General features: G+C 52.5%; 1 protein-coding gene across 12 annotated transcripts in view, besides 6 other annotated features; it reads left to right on the top strand.

Annotated features, from left to right (window-relative positions):
* Positions 1,524-2,362: an enhancer, noted in NCBI's record as "OCT4-NANOG-H3K27ac-H3K4me1 hESC enhancer chr17:63568601-63569439 (GRCh37/hg19 assembly coordinates)". NCBI's record gives its function as "activates a minimal SCP1, AML or CMV promoter by ChIP-STARR-seq in naive and primed H9 embryonic stem cells {active_cell/tissue: H9 hESC(naive and primed)}" and the evidence as "EXISTENCE:reporter gene assay evidence [ECO:0000049][PMID:30033119]".
* Positions 5,743-5,792: an enhancer, noted in NCBI's record as "active region_12611". NCBI's record gives its function as "activates an Ori minimal core promoter by ATAC-STARR-seq in GM12878 lymphoblastoid cells {active_cell/tissue: GM12878}" and the evidence as "EXISTENCE:reporter gene assay evidence [ECO:0000049][PMID:35858748]".
* Positions 5,913-5,982: an enhancer, noted in NCBI's record as "active region_12610". NCBI's record gives its function as "activates an Ori minimal core promoter by ATAC-STARR-seq in GM12878 lymphoblastoid cells {active_cell/tissue: GM12878}" and the evidence as "EXISTENCE:reporter gene assay evidence [ECO:0000049][PMID:35858748]".
* Positions 13,034-13,183: a silencer, noted in NCBI's record as "silent region_8863". NCBI's record gives its function as "represses an Ori minimal core promoter by ATAC-STARR-seq in GM12878 lymphoblastoid cells {active_cell/tissue: GM12878}" and the evidence as "EXISTENCE:reporter gene assay evidence [ECO:0000049][PMID:35858748]".
* AXIN2 (axin 2) overlaps positions 13,197-20,510 on the top strand; it is a 33,086-nt gene continuing 25,772 nt past the window's right edge. For 2 of the 12 annotated variants that reach the window (XM_047436872.1, XM_047436870.1), the window contains exons 1-2: positions 13,197-13,280; positions 16,109-17,039. In XM_047436872.1, coding sequence (XP_047292828.1) covers positions 16,225-17,039 — 815 coding nt within the window. In that variant the 5' untranslated portion in view covers positions 13,197-13,280; positions 16,109-16,224. Of the gene's footprint in view, positions 13,396-13,667; positions 14,021-14,105; positions 14,333-14,527; positions 15,330-16,108; positions 17,040-20,510 lie in introns of those variants that run through there. The other 10 variants (NM_001363813.1, NM_004655.4, XM_047436873.1 and 7 more) reach the window with 6 other exon arrangements.
* Positions 18,874-19,647: an enhancer, noted in NCBI's record as "H3K4me1 hESC enhancer chr17:63551316-63552089 (GRCh37/hg19 assembly coordinates)". NCBI's record gives its function as "activates a minimal SCP1, AML or CMV promoter by ChIP-STARR-seq in naive H9 embryonic stem cells {active_cell/tissue: H9 hESC(naive)}" and the evidence as "EXISTENCE:reporter gene assay evidence [ECO:0000049][PMID:30033119]".
* Positions 19,648-20,420: an enhancer, noted in NCBI's record as "H3K4me1 hESC enhancer chr17:63550543-63551315 (GRCh37/hg19 assembly coordinates)". NCBI's record gives its function as "activates a minimal SCP1, AML or CMV promoter by ChIP-STARR-seq in naive H9 embryonic stem cells {active_cell/tissue: H9 hESC(naive)}" and the evidence as "EXISTENCE:reporter gene assay evidence [ECO:0000049][PMID:30033119]".

Here is a 20,510-nt window from a genome sequence, read left to right as displayed (position 1 = left end):
ATGGTGAAACTCCATCTCTACTGAAAATACAAAAATTAGCCAGGCATGGTAGCACAGGCCTGTAATCCCAGCTACTCCGGAGGCTGAGGCAGGAGAATTGCTTGAATCCAGGAGGCAGAGATCACAGTGAGCTGAGATCGCGCCATTGCACTCCAGCCTGGGCAACAAGAGCGAAACTCCATCTCAAAAAAAAAAAAAAAAAAATTATAGAACACATCAATGCAGCGTTTGGCACCAGAGGAAGGCCTGGAGGGTAGTGGTGATGGGGGCACCTAGCAAAGCTGGGGGCTGTGATGCTGTACAGGGTTCAGGGCTCCTGAATTCAAAGAACACGTGACCATTTGCAAGTACCTAGAAGTCCCCACTGTCATCACAGCAAGACTTGAGCATGGGAGTGGGCACATTCTGATGGAGACTCACCAGGGGTCACCTGGCTGCAGCCGCTACCCCTAGCTGAAGACTTGCAATGAGCAGTGAAAAGATTAAATGTGCGCCAAGACCTTTACGGGCCTTGGGAAGCCATTTGTGCCAGAAAGCTGAGCACTTACATCTTTCAGAAACTAAATGTACTGGCTAGACTATTTCCATTCAAACCTCACCTTAAATCTGTCATATTTCATTCCCACTTTATAGGGAAGGGAGGGGCATCTTTAAGAGCCGAATAACTTGTAGGGCCTCCCCAGCCAGGGGAGCAGGGCCCTAGGCCAGGTTGCTCTCTTTGTTTTTTTTCTAAAGATGTCTAACCCTTACCAGGTATTCCCTGGGCATCAGGGGGGTTCTAACTGCTTTACTGCATCACTTCTTTTCTTTTCTTTTCTTTTCTTTTTTTTTTTTGAGACGGGGTCCCACTCTGTCGCCCAGACTGGAGTGCAGTAGCTCACTGCAACCTCCTCCTCCGTTCAAGCGATTTTCCTGCCTCAGCCTCCCGAGTAGCTGGGACTACAGGCACATGCCACCATTCCTGGCTAATTTTTGTATTTTTTGATAGAGTTGAGTTTTCACCATGTTGGCCAGGCTGGTCTTGAACTCTTGACCCCAAGTGATCTGCCCACCTCGGCCTCACAAAATGCTGGGATTACAGGTGTGAGTCACCACGCTCAGCTGCATCACTTCTTCGTCTAATCCTCCCAACAACCCACCAGACAGGCATTGCCATTCCTTCCATTATACACTTGGGGAAACCAAGGCACAGAGGAATGACAGACTCTCCATAGGAGGCGGGGCCGTCCATTTCCAGAGCCTCTGTGTTGAACCATTGAGCCACACTTCCCTGGCTTATCCAGACACTTTGGGATAAAGAAAACACCACTTTCCCGTGGCCCACAGTGCTCTGCCAAGCCGGCCTAGGCCAGTCTGCCCCACCTCACCTTTCTCCCTCCCTGCTCTCCCTGGTTCTCAGTTTTTATGAGTTTCTGGAAAAGGCAGAGCTTCCTCTTGCCTGGGGTCTTTGCAGTTCCTGTTCTCAGCTGCCCACAGCCTCCAACTCTCCTGTGCCCTGTGTCTGTCTCACCTTTCCTGCCGATCATGTGGCACAAAAAAATATCAAAACGGGGATTATCGGTGTCCTCTTCCCACCCTCCCCCAGACTGGGGGCTGCTGAGGGCAGAGACCCTGCTCTTGGGTTCCACTTTGGGGCCCCAGTGCCCGCTGCCTTGGGTGCCTGCTTTCCTCGTGCCACCGTGGCTCCCCAAGAAAAGGCCCAGCCCCATGTTCCCAGGCACAACTGCCTCCCTAGGCGTATGCAAGACCCTCCATTGTCTTGTAGAGTTTGAGGTTGATGCCTTTTCACAGGGAAATTCAGAGCAGGGCATCTCCTGGGGACAGCGAGAGAAAGGAAAGCAGGTGGCCTTTGTTGGGGAGAAAAGGTCAAAGTTCAAGGGATGGGAATGGAGTGGGGGAGGGTCAGGTCTGTTACAGATAAGCCAAGTTCGGCTGGAGCAGCTGCTGGACCTGCACAAAGTGGGTGGCTGCCTGAGCGAGCGGAAATGGGTGAAGTCCCGAGGCCACCCCATGGCGCCCCATACTCCCTTCCTGGGTGGCCCTGGTGCCTTTCTTGGTCTTGACCTCGGGAATCTGTTCTACAGCTGAGGGTGTCCCCAAGGGCATTCTCCGAGTATCCACTCTGCAGACAGCGACCCTACCTCCCCCTCCTTCCCTGGACAGGCCACGTCTGGCACCTGCCTTTCACACCTCTGTGCTCTTACAAATTGCTCTGGCTCTTCTCTGACCTTGGAGTAGAAGAGAAGGTGGGGATGGAGCCCCTTACTCACTGCACTCTGCTCTTTGTGACCGTATTTTTTGACCCCCAAGTCAGGCTGCCAGGTCTTGATCATTTTCTGCTTTGTGAACCAATGGATTCCTGTGAAAAGTTATACAAAGGTAGACAGATGAATGCATTTAACAAATTGAGCGTCTTGAAAACAAGGCAGTTTGCAAAAAGAAAGACTCGTTTCAGTGGGGGTGGTGCCTTGTCACCTAACCTGACTCCGCTTGACCCGTTGAAGCTGGTGGGATGTCTTGCTCCAGTCTTCCTTATCTGAAAAGCTGGGCTAGCTCAATACTTGTTTTTCACTGAATTTTTTCTTTTTTTCTTTCTTTCTTTTGTTTTCTTTATTTTTTTACTTTTCAGGGAGACAAGGTCTCGCTCTGTTTCCTAGGCTGGAGTGCAGTGGTGCGATCTCGGCTCACTGCAGCCTCAAACTCCTGGACTTAAGCGATCCTCCCACCTCAGCCCCCTGACCCGAATAGCTGGGATTACACATGTGCGCCACCACACCTGACTAATTTTTATTTTATTTTAAGTTCCAGGATACATGTGCAGGATGTGCAGGTTTGTTACATAAGTAAACGTGTGCCATGGTGGTTTGCTGCTCCTATCAACCAATCACCTAGGTATTAAGCCCACCATGCATTAGCTATTTATCCTGATGCTCTCTCTCCCCCTGCCCCCCTTAGCTAATTTTTGTATTTTTGTATTTTTATAGAGATGGGGTTTCACCATGTTGCCCAGGCTGGTCTTGAATTCCTGGGCTCAAGCGATCCACCCTGCCTCAGCTTCCCAAAGTGCTGAGATTACAGGCGTGCACCACTGCACCTGACCAATTTTTTTTCCCCCAACATCCCTTAGGTGTTTGGGTGATTCATTGAAGCTATCAAGATAGATTTTCTAGTTTCAATAATTATTGTATCTTTTTCTATACTCAAAAGTTATCAGCAAAAGTATTTACCAAAAGAGCATGATTACCAGGAGGTGAGTCTCAATCTACACTTTTTTTTTTTTTTTTTTTTTTTGAGATGGAGTCTCGCTCTGTCGCCCAGGCTGGAGTGCAGTGGCGAATTCTTGGCTCACTGCAACCTCCGTCTCCCAGGTTCAAGCGATTCTCCTGCCTCAGCCTCCCGATTAGCTGGGACTACAGGCACGTGCCACCATGCCCGGCTAATTTTTTGTATTTTTAGTAGAGACAAGGGTTTCACCGTGTTAGCCAGGATGGTCTCTATCTCCTGACCTGGTGATCTGCCGCCTCAGCCTCCCAAAGTGCTGGGATTACAGGCGTGAGCCACCGCGCCTGGCCAGTCTACACATTTTATTGTTTGTGATAGCAATGTTTTTGCTAAGAAAGCTATTAACATTCAACCATACTGATCTGTAGACCATTTCTCCTTGTTTGTTTAGAGAACATACTCCCAGGGCACACTGTCATTAAAAGGGTCATCAAATACCAAGATTTCTTCAAAGTCTTTCTGAGCCACACCATTCAGGAATCCTCTCCCCCAATCCCCGCCAATCCCCGCCCCCACCAATTCCCATCTAAATTCAATGACAAGGACTCCGAGGTCTGCTTTCTAAAAACCATCATCATGCATAGAATTAGCCCATGTCCCCGCTAATTTTGCTATCACATTTAAGTCACACGATCCTCTTATTAGCCCCTTTCTCCCAGGTTCCTAGTCGCTCCATAGGGAAGATGCATTTCCTCTCCTCTAATTCGAATGCAATAGCTTGCAAGGACTATTCACATTTACCTCCTAGACCAGTGAGTTCTTTCCATTTGGGAAGAAAAAGGTGGCGGCAAAGCAAATATTGCTTTTGAGTGTGACCAAATGTCTCTATCCTGTAACTCAGTAACATCTCAAAATAATTTGATATTTCTTTCTTAATCTATTAGAATTTTGATATATTTCAATAGAAATTTCCAGTAACCTTTGAAGAACTTCAAATATGTGATATTTATTTATTTATTCATTAGATGGAGTCTGGCTTTTCTCACCCAGGCTGGAGTGCGGTGGCACCATCTCGGCTCACTGCAACCTCTGCTTCCCGGGTTCAAGGGATTCTCCTGCCTCAGCCTGCCAAGTAGCTGGGATTACAGGCGCCTGCCACCATTCCCAGCTAATTATTTTGTATTTTTAGCACAGATGGGGTTTTGCCATGTTGGCCAGGCTGGTTTCGAACTTCTGACCTCAGGTGATCCACCTGCCTTGGCCTCTCAAAGTGCTGGGATTATAGGCGCGAGCCACTGGGCTTGGCCCAAATATGTGATAATTATTGCCAATAGCTTATGCTTGTCGTCATTGACCATCAACGTGCTGTCATTTCATAAAGTACAGAAAAGGGCCGGGTATGGTGCCTCACGCCTGTAATCCCAGCACTTTGGGAGGCTGAGGCTGGCCGATCACTCAAGGTCAGGAGTTTGAGACCAACCTGGCCAACACGGTGTAACCCCCGTGTCCACTAGAACTACAAAAATCAGCCAGGCATGGTGGTGCACACCTGTAGTCCCAGCTACTCGGGAGGCTGAGGCAGGAGATTCACCTTAACCTGGGTACAGAGGTTGCACTGAGCTGAGATCACGTCATTGCACTCCAGCCTGGGCAACAGAGCGAGACTCTGTCTCAGAAAAAGAAAACATAAAAAAAATAAAGTATAGAAAAGATTCACAACCTGTATGTCTTGCAACTGGGTTCTTACCATTAGCAATGTTAACTGACAGGGCGAAGTCTCATCAGCAGGTCAGTTTTCACCACTCCCCTCCCCAGAGGATACATCTTCATCTGTGGGTCCAGAATCTGGACATGGCTTAGCCGGGTGCCTCCTCCTTGAGGTTTCCATGAGGCTACCAGCAAGCCAGCAGCTGGACCTGCATCATGTCAAGGCTTGCCTAGGTGGCGTTCGGCTTCTGAGATCACTTGGTTGGTGGCAGGGCTTGTCCCTCGTCACACGGGTCCCTCAACAGGGATGCCTCAAGATTCTAGGGAAAGCACCTAAGGAAGGAATCGCAGCCTTTCGATAGCCTAATGTGGAGTGGATGTGCTGTCACATCAGCCATACTCTATTTATTAGGAGAGAGTCAAATGCTATCCATGCTCAAGGGGAGGGAAGTATGCAGGGTGTGGAACTAGGAAGCAGGGATCATTAGGGCCCAACTTAGAGGATGCCAACCACAGCTCCTCGTGACACAGCGACTACTGGCTTGACTCTGGCAGGGGGTTTCCAAGACCCTGTTCCAGACCCTAGGCTGGTATCAGTTCTGATTGGCCGGTACACAGGTTTCACCAGCTATTAAATATCGCCCAGGTCCCTCCTTCCCACAATCTAGTTCAAGGGATGCAAGTATCACAAAACACGGTCCCTGTCCTCAGAGAGTTCATGGTTGAGTGGGTGGGACAGAGAAGTAGATCAACCACAGTGTTTGCTAGAGGTGAGCCCCAGATGCCACAGAAGTAGGAGGATGGGCTCTAGCCCGGTCTCGGGGGATGAGGTGGGAGAGGACTGAAGAAGTGGCAGAGGGAGGGCAGTCGGCCAGGGAGGAAAAGGAGAGGCAATCCACCATGCATATGGTAGGGACAAGGGGGTGTCAGCAAGAAATACAGCTGGAGGGCCAGGCATGGTGGCTCACGCCTGTAATTCCTGTACTTTGGGAGGCCGAGGTGGGTGGATCACCTGAGGTCAGGAGATCAAGACCAGCCTAGCCAACATGGTGAATCCCCGTCTCTACTAAAAATATGAAAATTAGCCAGACGTGGTGGCATGCGCCTGTAGTCGCAGCTACTCTGGAGGCTGAGGCAGGAGAATCACTTCAACCTGGGAGGCGGAAGTTCCAGTGAGCCAAGATTGGGCCACTGCATTCCAGCCTGGGCAACAAGAGCGAGGCTCCTCCATCTCAAACAAACAAACAAAAAAAGATAGAAAAAGAAATAGAGCTGGAAAAGGGCCTGGGCTTGGGCCGGCTACCTGTGCACCACACATAGGGTTCTGGGCCTTATCCTGAAGGTTATGTGCAGCCGGGGAGGATCTGAAGCAGGAGAATGACATGGGTGGCTCTGCACTGCACAGCGTTTACCATTGCAGCACTGCGTGAGGGGGGTCAGGGGTTAGGGCTATAAACTGTAGGTGTGAAGCATCATTAGAACATTTGGCTGTCCCTGGCAAGGGCCCTGATAGCAGTTGTGGATTTGCAGAGCAGGAGGTGGTGGTGGGAGATTTTTTTAGAGGCAGAATCAACAGGGCTGGGTGAATGAATGGAGGCGTTTGAGGGAGAAGGCGGAGTCTAGATGTGGCCCAGGTTTCTTTTTTTTTTTTTTTGAGACAGAGTCTTGCTCTGTCCCCCAGGCTGGAGTGCAGTGACGCCATCTCGGCTCACTGCAACCTCCACCTCCCGAGTTCAAACTATTCTCCTGCTCACCCTTCCAAGTAGCTGGGATTACAGGCGCGTGCCACCACGCCCGGCTAACTTTTTGTATTTTTTTTAGTAGAGACGGGGTTTCACCATATTAGCCAGGATGGGCTCTATCTGACCTCGTGATCCACCCGCCTCGGCCTCCCAAAGTACTGGGATTACAGGCATGAGCCACTGTGCCCAGAGGTGAATAAGGCAACTTATTTCAAGCTCAGCTAAACTTTGCTTTCCAGAAGTTGTTTAAAATGAGCAAAATAAGATATCAGAAGGTGAGAAAAATGTCTACGGGGGGCGGTTTAGGAACACGCGTCGCAGGTTGGCGTGACGACTTTAGGGGGATTCCTTTCTATTTTCCAGTTCCTTTTCTAAAAATGACCTTTCGGGGCTGTTTTCTCCCCCAACCTCGCCCTTTGTTTTGGTGTCTCTCACTGTGGAGAAGATCACTTAAGAAAACAGAACCTCTGGTCCGGGGGCGGTGGCTCATGCCTGTAATGCCAGCATTTTGGGAGGCCAAGGCAGGCGGATCACAAGGTCAGGATGGGGGAATCACAGGGCCAACATGGGGAAACCCCATCTCTACTGAAAATACAAAAAAAAAAAAAAAATTAGCCGGGTGTGGTAGCGGGTGCCTGTAATCCCAGCTGCTTGGGAGGCTGAGAAAGGAGAATTGCTTGAACCCGGGAGGTGGAGGTTGCAGTGAATCGAGATCATGCCACTGCACTCTAGTCTGGGCGACACAGCGAGACTCCATCTCAAAAAACAAAAATAAATAAATACATACATACATACATAAAATAAAATAATAATAATAAAGAAAAAAGAAAGCAAAACCTCTTTCTGGATTTGTTTTAATATAGGTATATCGGTGCTCTCCTCTGGTTACAAGCTCAGGCCAACTCCTAAAAGCCAAACTTGAAGACCACGAAGGGTGAGATGCTGAAAAAAAATCAGCAGTTTGCAGCTCTATTTACAATCCATAATAAAAGCACTTGAAAGTCAGTCCAATTAGGAAGTTTTAAATTACTGTTTAACTGTGTTTTAAATTTCATATTAAAAAAAGATATTTTATCAACAAATAAATTCCCCCAACACTTCTGAAGATGGGATTTCTTTTCTTTTCTTTTGAGGCAGAGTCTCACTCTGTCGCCCAGGCTGGAGTGCAGTGGCACGATCTCGGCTCACTGCAACCTCTGCCTCCTGGGTTCAAATGATTCTCCTGCCTCAGCCTCCCGAGTAGCTGGGATTACAGGTGTCTGCCACCACACCAGGCTAATTTTTGTATTTTCAGTAGAGATGGGGTTTTGCCATGTTGGCCAGGCTGGTCTTGAACTCCTGACATCAGCTGATCCACCTACTTGGGCTCCCAAAGCGCTGGGATTACAGGTGTGAGTCACTGCACCTGGCCTTGAAGATGGGATTTCTTAGGGAAACCTTACTTTTCCCCTTGTGGCTTCAAAATCTCCACCTTGGCATTCCCAGTCCCTCCTCTGCAAAGGGGAGAGGAAGTAGGTCCATTCCTCCTTAGGTGGATCAACTCCACGGAGATGCCCATGTAAATGGCTGCCACTCTAAAAGACGTGGGTCAAACTGTCCCAGATCAGGCTGTGGGTAGCCCAGCTGGCAGAGCCAAGGCAACCTACCTACAGGTAGGGGCTGGATGAAGCGTGCCTTAGAGGGATTTCAGACAGAAGCCCTGTTGTGATTCTTTCAGGAAAGTATCCCAGATTGTATGTATTAGTCCTGTTGTAAAAGTCAAGACCTCCAGATGGTCTCACCCCCTCCATCTCAGCCAGCCCCTCCCTGGGTCTCCTCACTATGGTGTGGAGGAAAAAGAGGCTGGGCCAGGAGTCAGGACCCCTCAGAAGTTCCAGCTCATCTCTGATATGGGCAAAGTGATCCTGGGGAAATCTCACTTTCTCTTTGCTTAATTTGTCTGATTTCTTTCTTTCTTTCTTTCTTTTTTGGAGACAGAGTTTCGCTCTTGTTGCCCAGGCTGGAGTGCAATGGCGCAGTCTCCGCTCAATGCAACCTCTGCCTCTCGGGTTCAGGCGATTCTCCTGCCTCAGCCTCCCGAGTAGCTGGGATTACAGGCATGCATCACCATGCTCAGCTAATTTTTGTAATTTTAGTAGAGACAGGGTTTCACCATGTTGGACAGGCTGGTCTCGAACTCCTAACCTCAGGTGATCTGCCCACCTCAGCCTCCCAAAGTGCTGGCATTACAGGTGTGAGCCACCACACCCAGCCAATTTGTCTGGTTTCTTAAATGAAGGGTTGGACTAGATAACTCTTGAATGGCCCCTGGGCTTATTTCTTTCTGCATAGGACTATCCTTGAAAGATGGTAGCAGGGCACAGCCTCCTTTATCTCCTTTAGGCCCCCTATGGTCAGCCTCCTGGGGTCATTCTTCCCCAGATCGTCACTCCCAATGGACGGTATCTTTGCTTTGGAGATAGGGAGTTTCTTCCCAGAATAGGTAACAGGCTATTGAGGGAACAGACTTACTCTGTGAAAATAACCGCCATGTTCTATTGTGTGTCCAGCTCTGTGCCAGGCATTTATCGTATTGCTCAGGCTCACAACAGCCTTTGCAGGGGAGGTTTCCTCCAGTCTACAGGTGAACAAATGGAAACTCCGTGTGGTTAGGTAACCTCCAGTCTTAGGAAAGGTTACCTGTGTCTCTCTTCACCTTCCTCCCCAAACAAAGGTACATTGTCTAAGGCAGCACTTTTCCAAAGGAATAAAAGACAAAGTTACTGAATCTGAGAGAGCAGTGTCCTGGGTCTCAGCTCCTCTGAAGTCCCAGCTGGTGTGACTTCCCCTCCACAGTGGTTTTTGTGGGGCTGACTAAAGGTCAGAGATCTGGCCAGATGCCTCCCAGGGAGCCCTTAGTCCTTGTTTTCTGGGATTCTAGGATTTCAGCCCAGTATATAATTCCAGCAAAGAATCACTCTCTGCTTTATTAAACTTGTCTGCACTTAGGCAAAGTGGACTGTTTATCCTCCGTAGGGTTTTTCTTTAAAGGTGGAGCGGGGGGGCGAGTGAGCATGTGCAGAAATCCATCACCTTGCTTTCCAGTTTCCAGGCAACCGTGCAGGATTACAACAAGTCACATGATAGCGCTGCTGCCAGGGACAAGGGGAAAATGGAAAACGTGCTATCTTGAGAAACGGGCTGCTATAAGCACAGGACTTTGGATTCTCCTCTAGAAATATTATCAACAAGTAGTCAGAGACCCAGAGGCTAGAGAGAGGGCTTTCCAGTACTTGGCCCAGCCTCCTGCTGGGAGGGAAGTGTCCCACCAGATATAAAGCTGTAGGAAAGGGGACAGGCCAGGGGTGATGGTGGAGGGAGTCACTGCCCTAAAGTGACCCGAGCACCTGTTCTGGAAACCATGCTCTCAGAGGAGTTATTTTTTATTTATTTATTTTTTGAGACGGAGTTTGCTCTTGTTGCCCAGGCTGGAGTGCAATGGCACGATCTCGGCTCACCACAACCTCCGTCTCCTGGGTTCAAGCGATTCTCCTGCCTCCGCCTCTCAAGTAGCTGGGATTACAGGTATGCGCCACCATGCCTGACTAATTTTGTATTTTTAGTAGAGAAGGAGTTTCTCCATGTCGGTCAGGCTGGTCTCGAACTCCTAACCTCAGGTGATCCACCTGCCTTGGCCTCCCAAAGTGCTGGGATTACAGGCATGAGCCACTGCACCCCGGCCCTCAGAGCAGTTATTATTGACCGAGAAGATCCAAACCAAACCGGGCCTTGCTCCTGGGTCCCCAGTCCCAGTCCCAGTCCCCTCTTGCTACAGTCGCAGCCATGGGATAATGAGGTAGTCCTTTGGTTAAAGTTGAGCCTACAGTGATTAGGGCTGGTTGGGGGAGGCAGTGACGGGTCGGTGGGGACAACTGGGAGGAGAGGAAAACCACCCACAAAGACCAAGTTTCCACTTCCTTTTTGAAAACCTCTTTTTTCTGAACATTGTTTATTTTGATTTTAGATGTTTTGATTTTTCTCTCTCCCCCACCCCCCACATTGTGTGTGTGTGTGTGTGTGTGTGTGTGTGTGTGTGTGTGTGTGTGACTTTACTGTTGTTTATATGGTAGACACTTTTATGGCAATCCATACCCCTCTGTCTACATTTCTGTTCCAGTAATAACACCCTCTGTGGCCCAAAGACTCCCTGGAACCACAGTGACAGTTTTACTCTTGGCACTCCTGGGGTGGCCAAAGGTGGTGGCTGTGTTCTTGGCCCTGGGCCAGCTCAGAGCTGGTGGCTAAGAGGGTCCATGGGCCACTGACCCCCCAGAATACCAGCAGGCCGGGGCTTTTAGAGCCCACTGGTTTCCTCACACCAGCAGTTGTCCTAAGGCAAAGATGAGTCATCGGGCCACACTCTTTCCCTGGCCTTCCTGGCTGGCTTCAGGGCCACATTTCAGGGCTGGTACTGCTGTCTTTATGCCAACCTGGCTGCCTGGGGTCGAGAGCCTGGAGCTGCAGACCATGGGCACCGAAAGGCAGGTTTTGGGGAGGAGCGGCCACCTGTCATGGCACCCACGAGCCAGAGTCCAGAGTCTTAGACTAGAAAGTCTAAGAGCTTTCTAGTCCCTTGTCACAGTCCCTTAGGCTGAGGGCAGGTGGCGCACAGTCCTGCCACCTGCCCCTTTCCAGCAGATCATGGGTGGTGGATCTTCCTCCTCTTTTTTTCTTTTCTTTTTTTTTTTTGAGATGGAGTCTTGCTCTGTCGCCCAGGCTCACTGCAACCTTAACCTCCTGTGTTTAAATGATTCTCCTGCCTCAGCCTCCCGAGTAGCTGGGACTACAGGCGCCCCCCACCACGCCTGGCTAATATTTGTAGTTTTAGTAGGGACAGGGTTTCACTATGTTGGCCAGGCTGGTCTCGAATGCCTGACCTCAGGTGATCCGCCTGCCTTGGCCTCCCGAAGTGCTGGGATTACACGGGTGAGCCACCACACCCAGCCTCTTCCTTCTCTTTTTCTATGGATACCTAGATAGAGCCACAATTCTTGCATGTTTTAAAGTTCTGAAGGCCTAATGACAGGCCATCTCGCATTTAAAAGGGCTCGTCATCCATTAAGTTGGAGAGTAAGAGCCTTGCACAGCTCTGAGGCCAGGACTCTGCCTTTCACTTCTTGGATCTCTTTGGTTCACACCTTTATGTGTGTGTGTGTGTGTGTTTTTTTTTTTTTTTTTTGAGGGAGTCTCGCTTTGTCACCCAGCCTGGCGTGCAGTGGTGCCATCTTGGCTCACTGCAACCCCCCCACCCCCGTCTCCTAGGTTCAAGCGATTCTCCTGCCTCAGCCTCCCGAGTAGCTGGGACTACAGGCACGTGCCACCACACCCGGCTGATTTTTGTATTTTTAGTAGAGACGGGGTTTCGCCATATTAGGCAGGCTGGTCTCGAACTCCTGACCTCAGATGATCCTCCAGCATGGGCCTCCCAAAATGCTGGGATTACAGGCATGAGCCACCGTCCCCGGCCCTTTGTTTTTTAAAAGGAAGAAAAGTTAATTATTCGCTCATAACATAAGGAATCATTCTATAGCAGCAGCAGAATAAATACACAATGCTCTGGGTTTGTGACATATTTTCTCATTTTAACGGAGAAGAGAAGGTTGTGTGTGCCTTATAAACGTTTTTGGGCAAATGTGGGAGAAATTCAAAGGTGACAATGGGGTGAGGAGTTTTCGATACATTAAAACGGCATGCATGCCTTGTCGTTTGGAGTGGGAAAAAAGATATTCCTATCGGTTTAATATGTAACATATGGCAGAAGAGGGGACTTTGGAAGAGTAACGGGTATGCAGTTGTTTGGGAGAGATGGCCAATGTGTGCCGCTACGAGGGTCTTATGGCCAGCAGGTTAGGAAGCTGGACCTAGGTCTTCAGGGCACTGAGGTATGCCTCCTAACTGGTGTTAGCACTCAGGCCTATACTGGCGGATTCACACCCCACTTTCACACATGCACAAACGCAATTCATCCACCAACTGCAGTCCTATATTTACCCGAACTCAGATGCACGTGCACAAGCGCGCACAGGCATGCACACGCCTCCAGCGGCTGGGCCCGAGTCCGCCCTATGACAGCGGGCCAGCCAACCCCAGGGCCGGAACTCCCTTTATAAAGTCCTCCAAGCCCAAATTCCCAGGGAAACTTGAATAGAGGTAGAAAAGCGTTTGATGATAGAAAAAAAAAAATCTGCTTGCTTGCAGTTCTTGCGATGGCCATAATGCTACCAGAAACTGTTGCATTCCAGAGCCGGGGAGAGCGAGGGCAGGCAGGGGGAGGAGGCGGGAGCAAAGAGGCCGGAGAACTTAAAAGAAGAAATCAGAACTCGGGCTGAGAATGCCCTCGGGGCCGCGGGGGGCTGGCAGGGGGCGGAGGAGAGGCCGGGGAAGGGTTAACGCGGGAGCGGAGCGTGCGGCGGGGGCGGGCCGGGGCGGGGCGGGGCGGGCGCGGGGCGCTGTCCCTTTAAGGCGGGCGGCGCGGGCCGGCCGAGCGCGGCTGTGATTGGCGCGGCGGGATCACTGGCTCCGCGAGCCTGGCCCGGGGGAGTCGGCTGGAGCCGGCTGCGCTTTGATAAGGTCCTGGCAACTCAGTAACAGCCCGAGAGCCGGGAAATAAAAATAACCCCTCAGAGCGATGGATTTCGGGGCCGCCCGGCGGCCGAGGCGCCCGCCGAAGGCCCTGCTGTAAAAGGTGGGGGTGGAAGCTCGGCCCCAGCGGAGCCGCTTCAAAGAAAGCCCCCCTCTTACAGGGGGCGAGGTCGCGCCGAGCCGCGGCGTGGGCGCGGGGGGCGGGAGGGGGCCCGGCCAGGCGGAGGCCGGGCCTGGAGGGGGGCGCGGGCGGGGCGGCCCTGCGGAGCGGTGGCGGGGCTGCGGGGGGCGGCCCGGGGCGCGGCCGGCGCGTACCTCCCTTTCAGGACCGTGCGCTCGGCTCGCGCCTTTGAAGTGCACAGTTAAATCCACAGCGCAGTTTTTGTTGGAAGCGCCCGGAGGACATTTGGTGCGCCGAGTGACTGCTGGAAACAGGACCTGCGTTGAAAGCCGGGCCGGGCGGGGGCGGAGGCCCGCTCGGATCTTTTGCATAAAAGGGGCGGCGGGGCGCGCCGTTCCCCCTCCCCGGCCGGTGGCTTTCGCTCTGAACCCGGGATTGTTGTTTCCCGCACCCCCTCCCCCGCCGCACGACTCCCCATGTTCCCCGACGCCGCGGCCGGCCCGGGGGGGCCCGGGGCTGCCGCCGCGAGCCGAGCCGGGGGCCGGGGCCGGGCCCCTGCCAGGGGCGCCTGCGAGGTCTCGCCGCCGAGCGCGCGCGGGGATCAATGGTGAGTGCCGAGGCCGAGGCGGCCGGGCGGACCGCGCGCTTTGATGTGCGGGGCGGCCCTTTGAAGTTGGCAGGCCGGCTATTTCGGGGCGCGCTAGGGGCCGGCGCGGAGGGGAGCGGCGGACCCGGCGCCCAGCGTTCCGGGGGGCTTGGCCGGGCAGCCTTGCGCGCCCTGCGCCGGAGCCCCCTCCCCAGCGCGGTGACCGGGTTGGCGGGGGGCCCAGAGAGGAGACTTATCCGAGTGGCGGCAGTGGCGGGGGCGGAGAGGGGGCAGATACCCCCCGGGGGTCGCGTCGCTGTCGCGGTTATGGATGTGAGTCGGCGTGTGAGTGCGCGCGGGAGTGCCTTTGGGAGGTGGGATGAAAGGGTAGCGGCGCCCCCCGCTTGCCCTCCCCCGCCCCCCGCCTCTCCTCCGCCCCATCCTCTCCTCCTACTTCTCTTCCCCCTCCCCTTTTCCCCTCCCTGCCGCGGGTCCGCGCTAAGGGGCCCACAGCGCTGGCGGAGGCTCAGTCTGCGCGCAGGACCGGCCCAAGTCCGGGGCGCCCGTGTCCCTCGCGTCCCTCCTCCCGGCCCGGGCCCCTCGCCCGTGGCCGCCCCGGCCCCTTTTGCGGAGAGGCAGAGACTCCGCGCGTCGCCATTTCTGGACTAGGCTGCTGCTTTCTGTGCTTTTTCTGCGGGCGCCTCTGCAAACGGCGGCGCCGGGGACCGACCCCCCGCCCGGGCTCGGGGCGCTGCTGGCGTGTCCCGGGGTTCCGGCCTCGAGGTGTGCCCGCCAGGGCTCTGGAGGCGTTCAGTTGCATTTGGGCCGGGGGACCGGGCCGGAGGGGCTCGGAGGACATGAGAGCCTGGCTTCGGCGGCCTTCGTCTTCCAGGTAACGGGGCCGCTCCACCTCCCACCGCCCGGGTAGCGCGGTGCCAACGGCAGCCCCACTTCTCCGTGGGCCGCGCCGCCCAGCCCCGCGGCTCGAGGCTCTGGTCGGGTTCAGCGTGCACCCATCCCAGATCCGGGGTCCCTGGCTTCTCGCCCGGGGTTGCACCCCGTTCAGCCCCTACCCTTCTTAGTTTGATCTTTTCCGTGCTAGGGAAAGCAGCTTGTTTATTGGTTAGATAAGACTTTTTTCTTTGGAAAAAAGACAGGCTTGAAATCAGTAGAGTTTGGGATTCTTGGCACAGGCAGTAGTGGCGTGAGACGGCTGGTGATCCAGTTTTGTAGGTTTCGCGGATCCGGGAGGTGGGTTGGGGGCACGGGGGCGACGGTTCCGAGGCTTCTCAGCTCTCTCTCAAAGTTTGAAGATGAAAGTCTCCCCTGAGTGAGTTGGTTTCTGGTTTGGGGGGAGGTCAGGGAAGACAGAGGTGTTGACTGAGCTGGATTCTTGGTGGGGGTAGGGGGCGCGTAGCGAACACTCAAATCTGAGTTGGGGAGGGGGTGTTTGCGTGCTGAATCTGGGAGTCCGGGAGCCCAATCCGCCTATGCTGGGCGGGCTTCTCTTGGGCCAGGATCTTCTGAATTTTTAAGGAGTGGGAAGAGGGAGCGCAGAGGGAGGGGGTGGGTGGGGAGAATGGGAACCAGATGCCGGGGAAGGGCACGTTTGGAGCTCGAGTTATCTGTGCAGGGCCGAGTGGGGAAATATACCGAAATTGGTTTCACCTGCACACAGCCTAGCGGCTGGGAGTGCGCCTTTTTGGAGTTGATGGTATCGGGGGAGGGGAAGGGAGGGAAGGCGAGGCGCGGGCTGAGCTGCCCTGCGTGCGCCCTGGCCGAGTGGGTTTTTGGAAGGTTGTGTCTTACACCTCCAGTGTCCCCCTGCCGTCCCCAGCTCTTGCCTTCCTCTCACCTTCCCCGCCTCTTTCCCAACAGCTCCCTCCCACCCCCAACCCCGAAAAGTGTGCAGGGAGCTCAGATTTCGCTTTTGAAAAGCAGCGCCTGATACTTTAGATGAGCACCTCGCAGATAGCTGGGTTGCTTGATTTGAATTTGAGGAGTTGAAAAGCCTGTTTACTTTCTTGCTTTGATGTTGGGTAGATCTGGTTTTGATTAGATCAATACCCTTTTCTCTCTCCCCACCTCCCCCCTTCCTTTTCTTTCCAGAGAGGAGGTTCAGATGAGCCCCTGCTGACTTGAGAGAGACAGAGAGACCACGCCGATTGCTGAGAGGAACTGGAAGAAGAAAAATTCCCAGACTCAGTGGGAAGAGCTCCCTCACCATGAGTAGCGCTATGTTGGTGACTTGCCTCCCGGACCCCAGCAGCAGCTTCCGTGAGGATGCCCCGCGGCCCCCAGTGCCAGGGGAAGAAGGGGAGACCCCACCGTGTCAGCCAGGGGTGGGCAAGGGCCAGGTCACCAAACCCATGCCTGTCTCTTCCAACACCAGGCGGAACGAAGATGGGTTGGGGGAGCCGGAGGGGCGGGCATCTCCGGATTCCCCTCTGACCCGGTGGACCAAGTCCTTACACTCCTTATTGGGCGATCAAGACGGTGCTTACCTGTTCCGAACTTTCCTGGAGAGGGAGAAATGCGTGGATACCTTAGACTTCTGGTTTGCCTGCAATGGATTCAGGCAGATGAACCTGAAGGATACCAAAACTTTACGAGTAGCCAAAGCGATCTACAAAAGGTACATTGAGAACAACAGCATTGTCTCCAAGCAGCTGAAGCCTGCCACCAAGACCTACATAAGAGATGGCATCAAGAAGCAGCAGATTGATTCCATCATGTTTGACCAGGCGCAGACCGAGATCCAGTCGGTGATGGAGGAAAATGCCTACCAGATGTTTTTGACTTCTGATATATACCTCGAATATGTGAGGAGTGGGGGAGAAAACACAGCTTACATGAGTAATGGGGGACTCGGGAGCCTAAAGGTCGTGTGTGGCTATCTCCCCACCTTGAATGAAGAAGAGGAGTGGACTTGTGCCGACTTCAAGTGCAAACTTTCGCCAACCGTGGTTGGCTTGTCCAGCAAAACTCTGAGGGCCACGGCGAGTGTGAGGTCCACGGAAACTGTTGACAGTGGATACAGGTAAGACTTTGACGGGGGCGGGTGGGCTGATGCTGTGGACTTTGCAGATGTTTTAAGTATGGTGGATGGGTGGATGGGTGTGCTGCAGAGACTGACAGGTCTGTTGAGTTAGGACTGCTGGCCATGAACCCTTTTTGATCTTGCTTTTTGTTGTTGAAACAGGGGGAAAGCGATGCACATACAGTAAATACCTGCAGTCTTCCAGTGCTGACTTCAAACAGTGGCAAGCAGTATTCACTAATGTGGGTTACTTATTATCCCGGGCTAGTGTCTCAGAAGAGGTTGAGAGAGAGAGAGAGGACAGCAGCTTTTGATGCCTCTGAGTCACCAGATCCACTAAGCGCCGGTTTTGGAAGGGGTCACTTCACCACTAATCAGTAGAGGGTGGAATTAATGTGGCTAGGGAGGCAGCTGGGTTGTGGTGGAGGCACAGGAAATAATATGTGCACCCATTGAGGGGTAAGTGGGATTTTTTTTTGAACTTTTCTGTTAAGATAAGAGCCAGCAATTGGCTTAACTGAGCTTGTGGTTCCCTTTGTAGAATTAGATATTTACCCAGCAAGAAAGGCCTCTAACTAGGGAAGGTCCTGTGACTTTCCCAAATGAAGGACCCTTACCTTTAGAGCTTGCTGGCATATTAATCCAGGTTTTAAATGCTCATGAGTCCGAGGGTCAGACTTCAGTTGATTATTTTGTTAGTGCTGATGGAGAAGAGATCTTGGCCCGGGAGTACTGGGGCCCTGGAGTACTTTCTCTTTGAGGCTTCAAAGACAAATAGTTCTTTGCAGAATGGCCAAGTCTTAAGATTCTTGACCTTTGGAGGCAACTTCAGACCTCTTGTTAGAATGAGTTTTTCTGTTTTCTCCCCTCCTCCCGACTTCCAAATATCCGAAAAGAGAATGAGCCTCTTAATTCCGGGGTGTGGTTTTATGACAGGCAGGGGATGGGGCTGCACTTGACTGCTCTCTGAATGATTTATCTTGCTCTCTGTGTGAATTTCTCTGTGTGTTAGGGGCCCAGGATGCGGTCTGATAGCTGCCTCTGGATTTCCCTTTCTCTGTAGGATGTGGTCTCTAGTGCCCAGCAGCAGGAAGAGAGGTGGGCACCAGATGGTTGATCTTGAGCCTCTCAGGGTGGCCAGGTCTGAGCCTAGCGGGCCATGATTTTAGGGGCGGCAGAGAGAGTTGACTGTTGGCGAGGAGAGGAAGGGCTTGTTCTCCAACCACCAGGGGGCGCGCTTGTGGCTTGGGAACCAGTTTTACTCAGACATCTGGTCTACACCTAAGTGGAACCAGGTTGACTTTTGCAAGGAAACACAGGTTCCAGGGAGGTGTTTCAGTGTCTTTATGCTTGTGGAGTCAAGTTGTCTGGGAGGAAGATCCTGGGTCTGGCCTCTGCAGTAGGTCAGTCGCCGGGCACCTGCTACGCCTGCCCGCCCCATTATGAGACCATTTGGGTAAGCCTCTGGCGCTGGCCTCCTTGCCCTCTAGCCTGGCAGCCAGAGCTGAGACTACTTAAGAGCCGTGGTAAAGGCTGCTTCTCCAGGGGCCTCCTGACTGGGGCTTCTGTGTCTCCCACTGCCGGGACCAGAGTGTCACCTTCGTAAATAGCACAGTGTGTGGTTTTGGACGCCCTCCCCAGGCAGGGCTCTGCTGTGAACCCTCCCCTTTGTGGGTGGGCAGTTGCGACTCAGCCTGGGCTTGCCTCATCTGGGATATTACCAGGATGCAACTCATGAAGCTTTTGAGATCCAGAAGGCAGGGACAGAAGCTCCTGTTTTCCAGGGCTGCCTTCTTGGCTGTGAACCGTGGACATCACTGATAAAGAGGTGACAGCTTGTCATTGACCTGAGAGTTTCCATACGAGATTCACGTGTGCCTTCTCCCACTGTTGGGTTGAGATGAAGCATCTTAAAGGACTCTCTGAAGCTCATATGTCTTAACTGGGCATATTTAAAGAGAATTTAAGACATAGCCAGATGATCTCACATCATTTTAACGTGCAAGATATTCGAGTGTGTGCACAGTGTATGGAAAGGTCTGCTGACTCCTTATTCAAAGGCTTGCATTCCAGCCCGGTCCACCACTTACTGCTTGGGTGTTGAAGCCTTTCTGAATGGCATGTGCCCATCTGTAAAATGGGTGGGCACCATTCCTTCTGTCTGTGTCATAGGATTGTTATTAGGACCAAAATAATAAACATGAAAGCCTTTTGTAGAGAGAAACGTTTTGAACCGCCGCAAAGTGTTATAATTAGTATAATTAGTAATGATGATGTAAATAGGACAACCAGGTTGGGATGTCACTTTTAAAGGGTGACTCTTGGCTTAGCCCATTTTCCATTGTAAGGTTTTAGAGTGGCCCCCTGACCCCCATGCCTCAACTTTCTTATTGAACTGAAGTCTGTTTTTCCAGCTAGTTCTTGGAATGTAGAGATCCCATCTAAGGTTTAAGTTCCCCCCTTCCCTCTCCCGCACACTCACTCATTCTGCAGAGTACCTGGCATCTGGGATGGGCTTAATAAGTTAGTAAAATGAATGGAACAGAAACGTCAGTGCTGCTGAGGATGGTCTTTCTTCATCAGCTGCTGAGGAGCGGTCTTGGCAGCCGGATGCCTGGGGCACTGGCCAGGCTTGCAAGCCCTGTGTTTACCTCGGGCACTCAAAGGAGCCTCGTTTTTAACGACTTGTTTGTGTCCTTACTGATTTGGTGTCAGGTTTAATATAAATAGTTGGGGCGGAAGAGCAGGAATTATCCTCAGAGGGCAGGACTCTGGTCTGAGTGGTTGAGGGGGATGCCTGGGCTTTTGACAATGGCTATAAATAACCTAGAGCAAAAGCAACTTGTTGGTAGGAGCACGTGTAAAATCCCCGGCACACAGACACACACACGCACAGTGTCGAGGTGTGTGCGAAGGGGGGTTGTGGGATTGGGCACTGGGCCCAGCATTTATTTTGGGGAGGAGAATAAGGTGCTGGGTGCACAGAGCCCTCCCTGTGTCCTCGCCTTTCTGCACGGGCCCTTGTGTGTCCTGCCCAAGGTGGGGCTCATCTGCCTCCCATTGGGCCCTCTGCTCTGGCCTCCCTTAAAAGAAGTCGGGCCCAGCAGATGGCCCTCTGCTGGCTCCGAGTGCTGCTTCCAGTTCTCTGAAAGAACTCGCTGATGAGGCCCGTTTTTGTGCGGAGCCATTGGAATCAAGCTTGGCTTCAATTATCAAAGAAAATGATGCCATAGGAAAGATATGCTGGAAGCAGTAGTCCACAATTAGAGGATGGAAGCTCTGGTGAGGGCAGTTTGCTAAGATCCACTTGTAAAAGTTTGCCTGTTTTCAAAAGGTCCCGTTGCCCAGTGCTGTTGGAGTCCTGGCCCCTTGCCGAGTGTCCCTTGATCTTGCCTTAGAAAATGCTTGTTGAAGAGGGTATTGCCTTTTGGGCAGTGACCTTGTGAGTAAATTTTCAGAGGGCTCTTGGAA

Source organism: Homo sapiens, chromosome 17 (genome assembly GCF_000001405.40).
Source record: "Homo sapiens chromosome 17, GRCh38.p14 Primary Assembly".
Classification (NCBI taxonomy): domain Eukaryota; kingdom Metazoa; phylum Chordata; class Mammalia; order Primates; family Hominidae; genus Homo; species Homo sapiens.
Note: the sequence above shows the minus strand (reverse complement) of the source record. Positions and strands in the feature narration are given on the sequence as shown.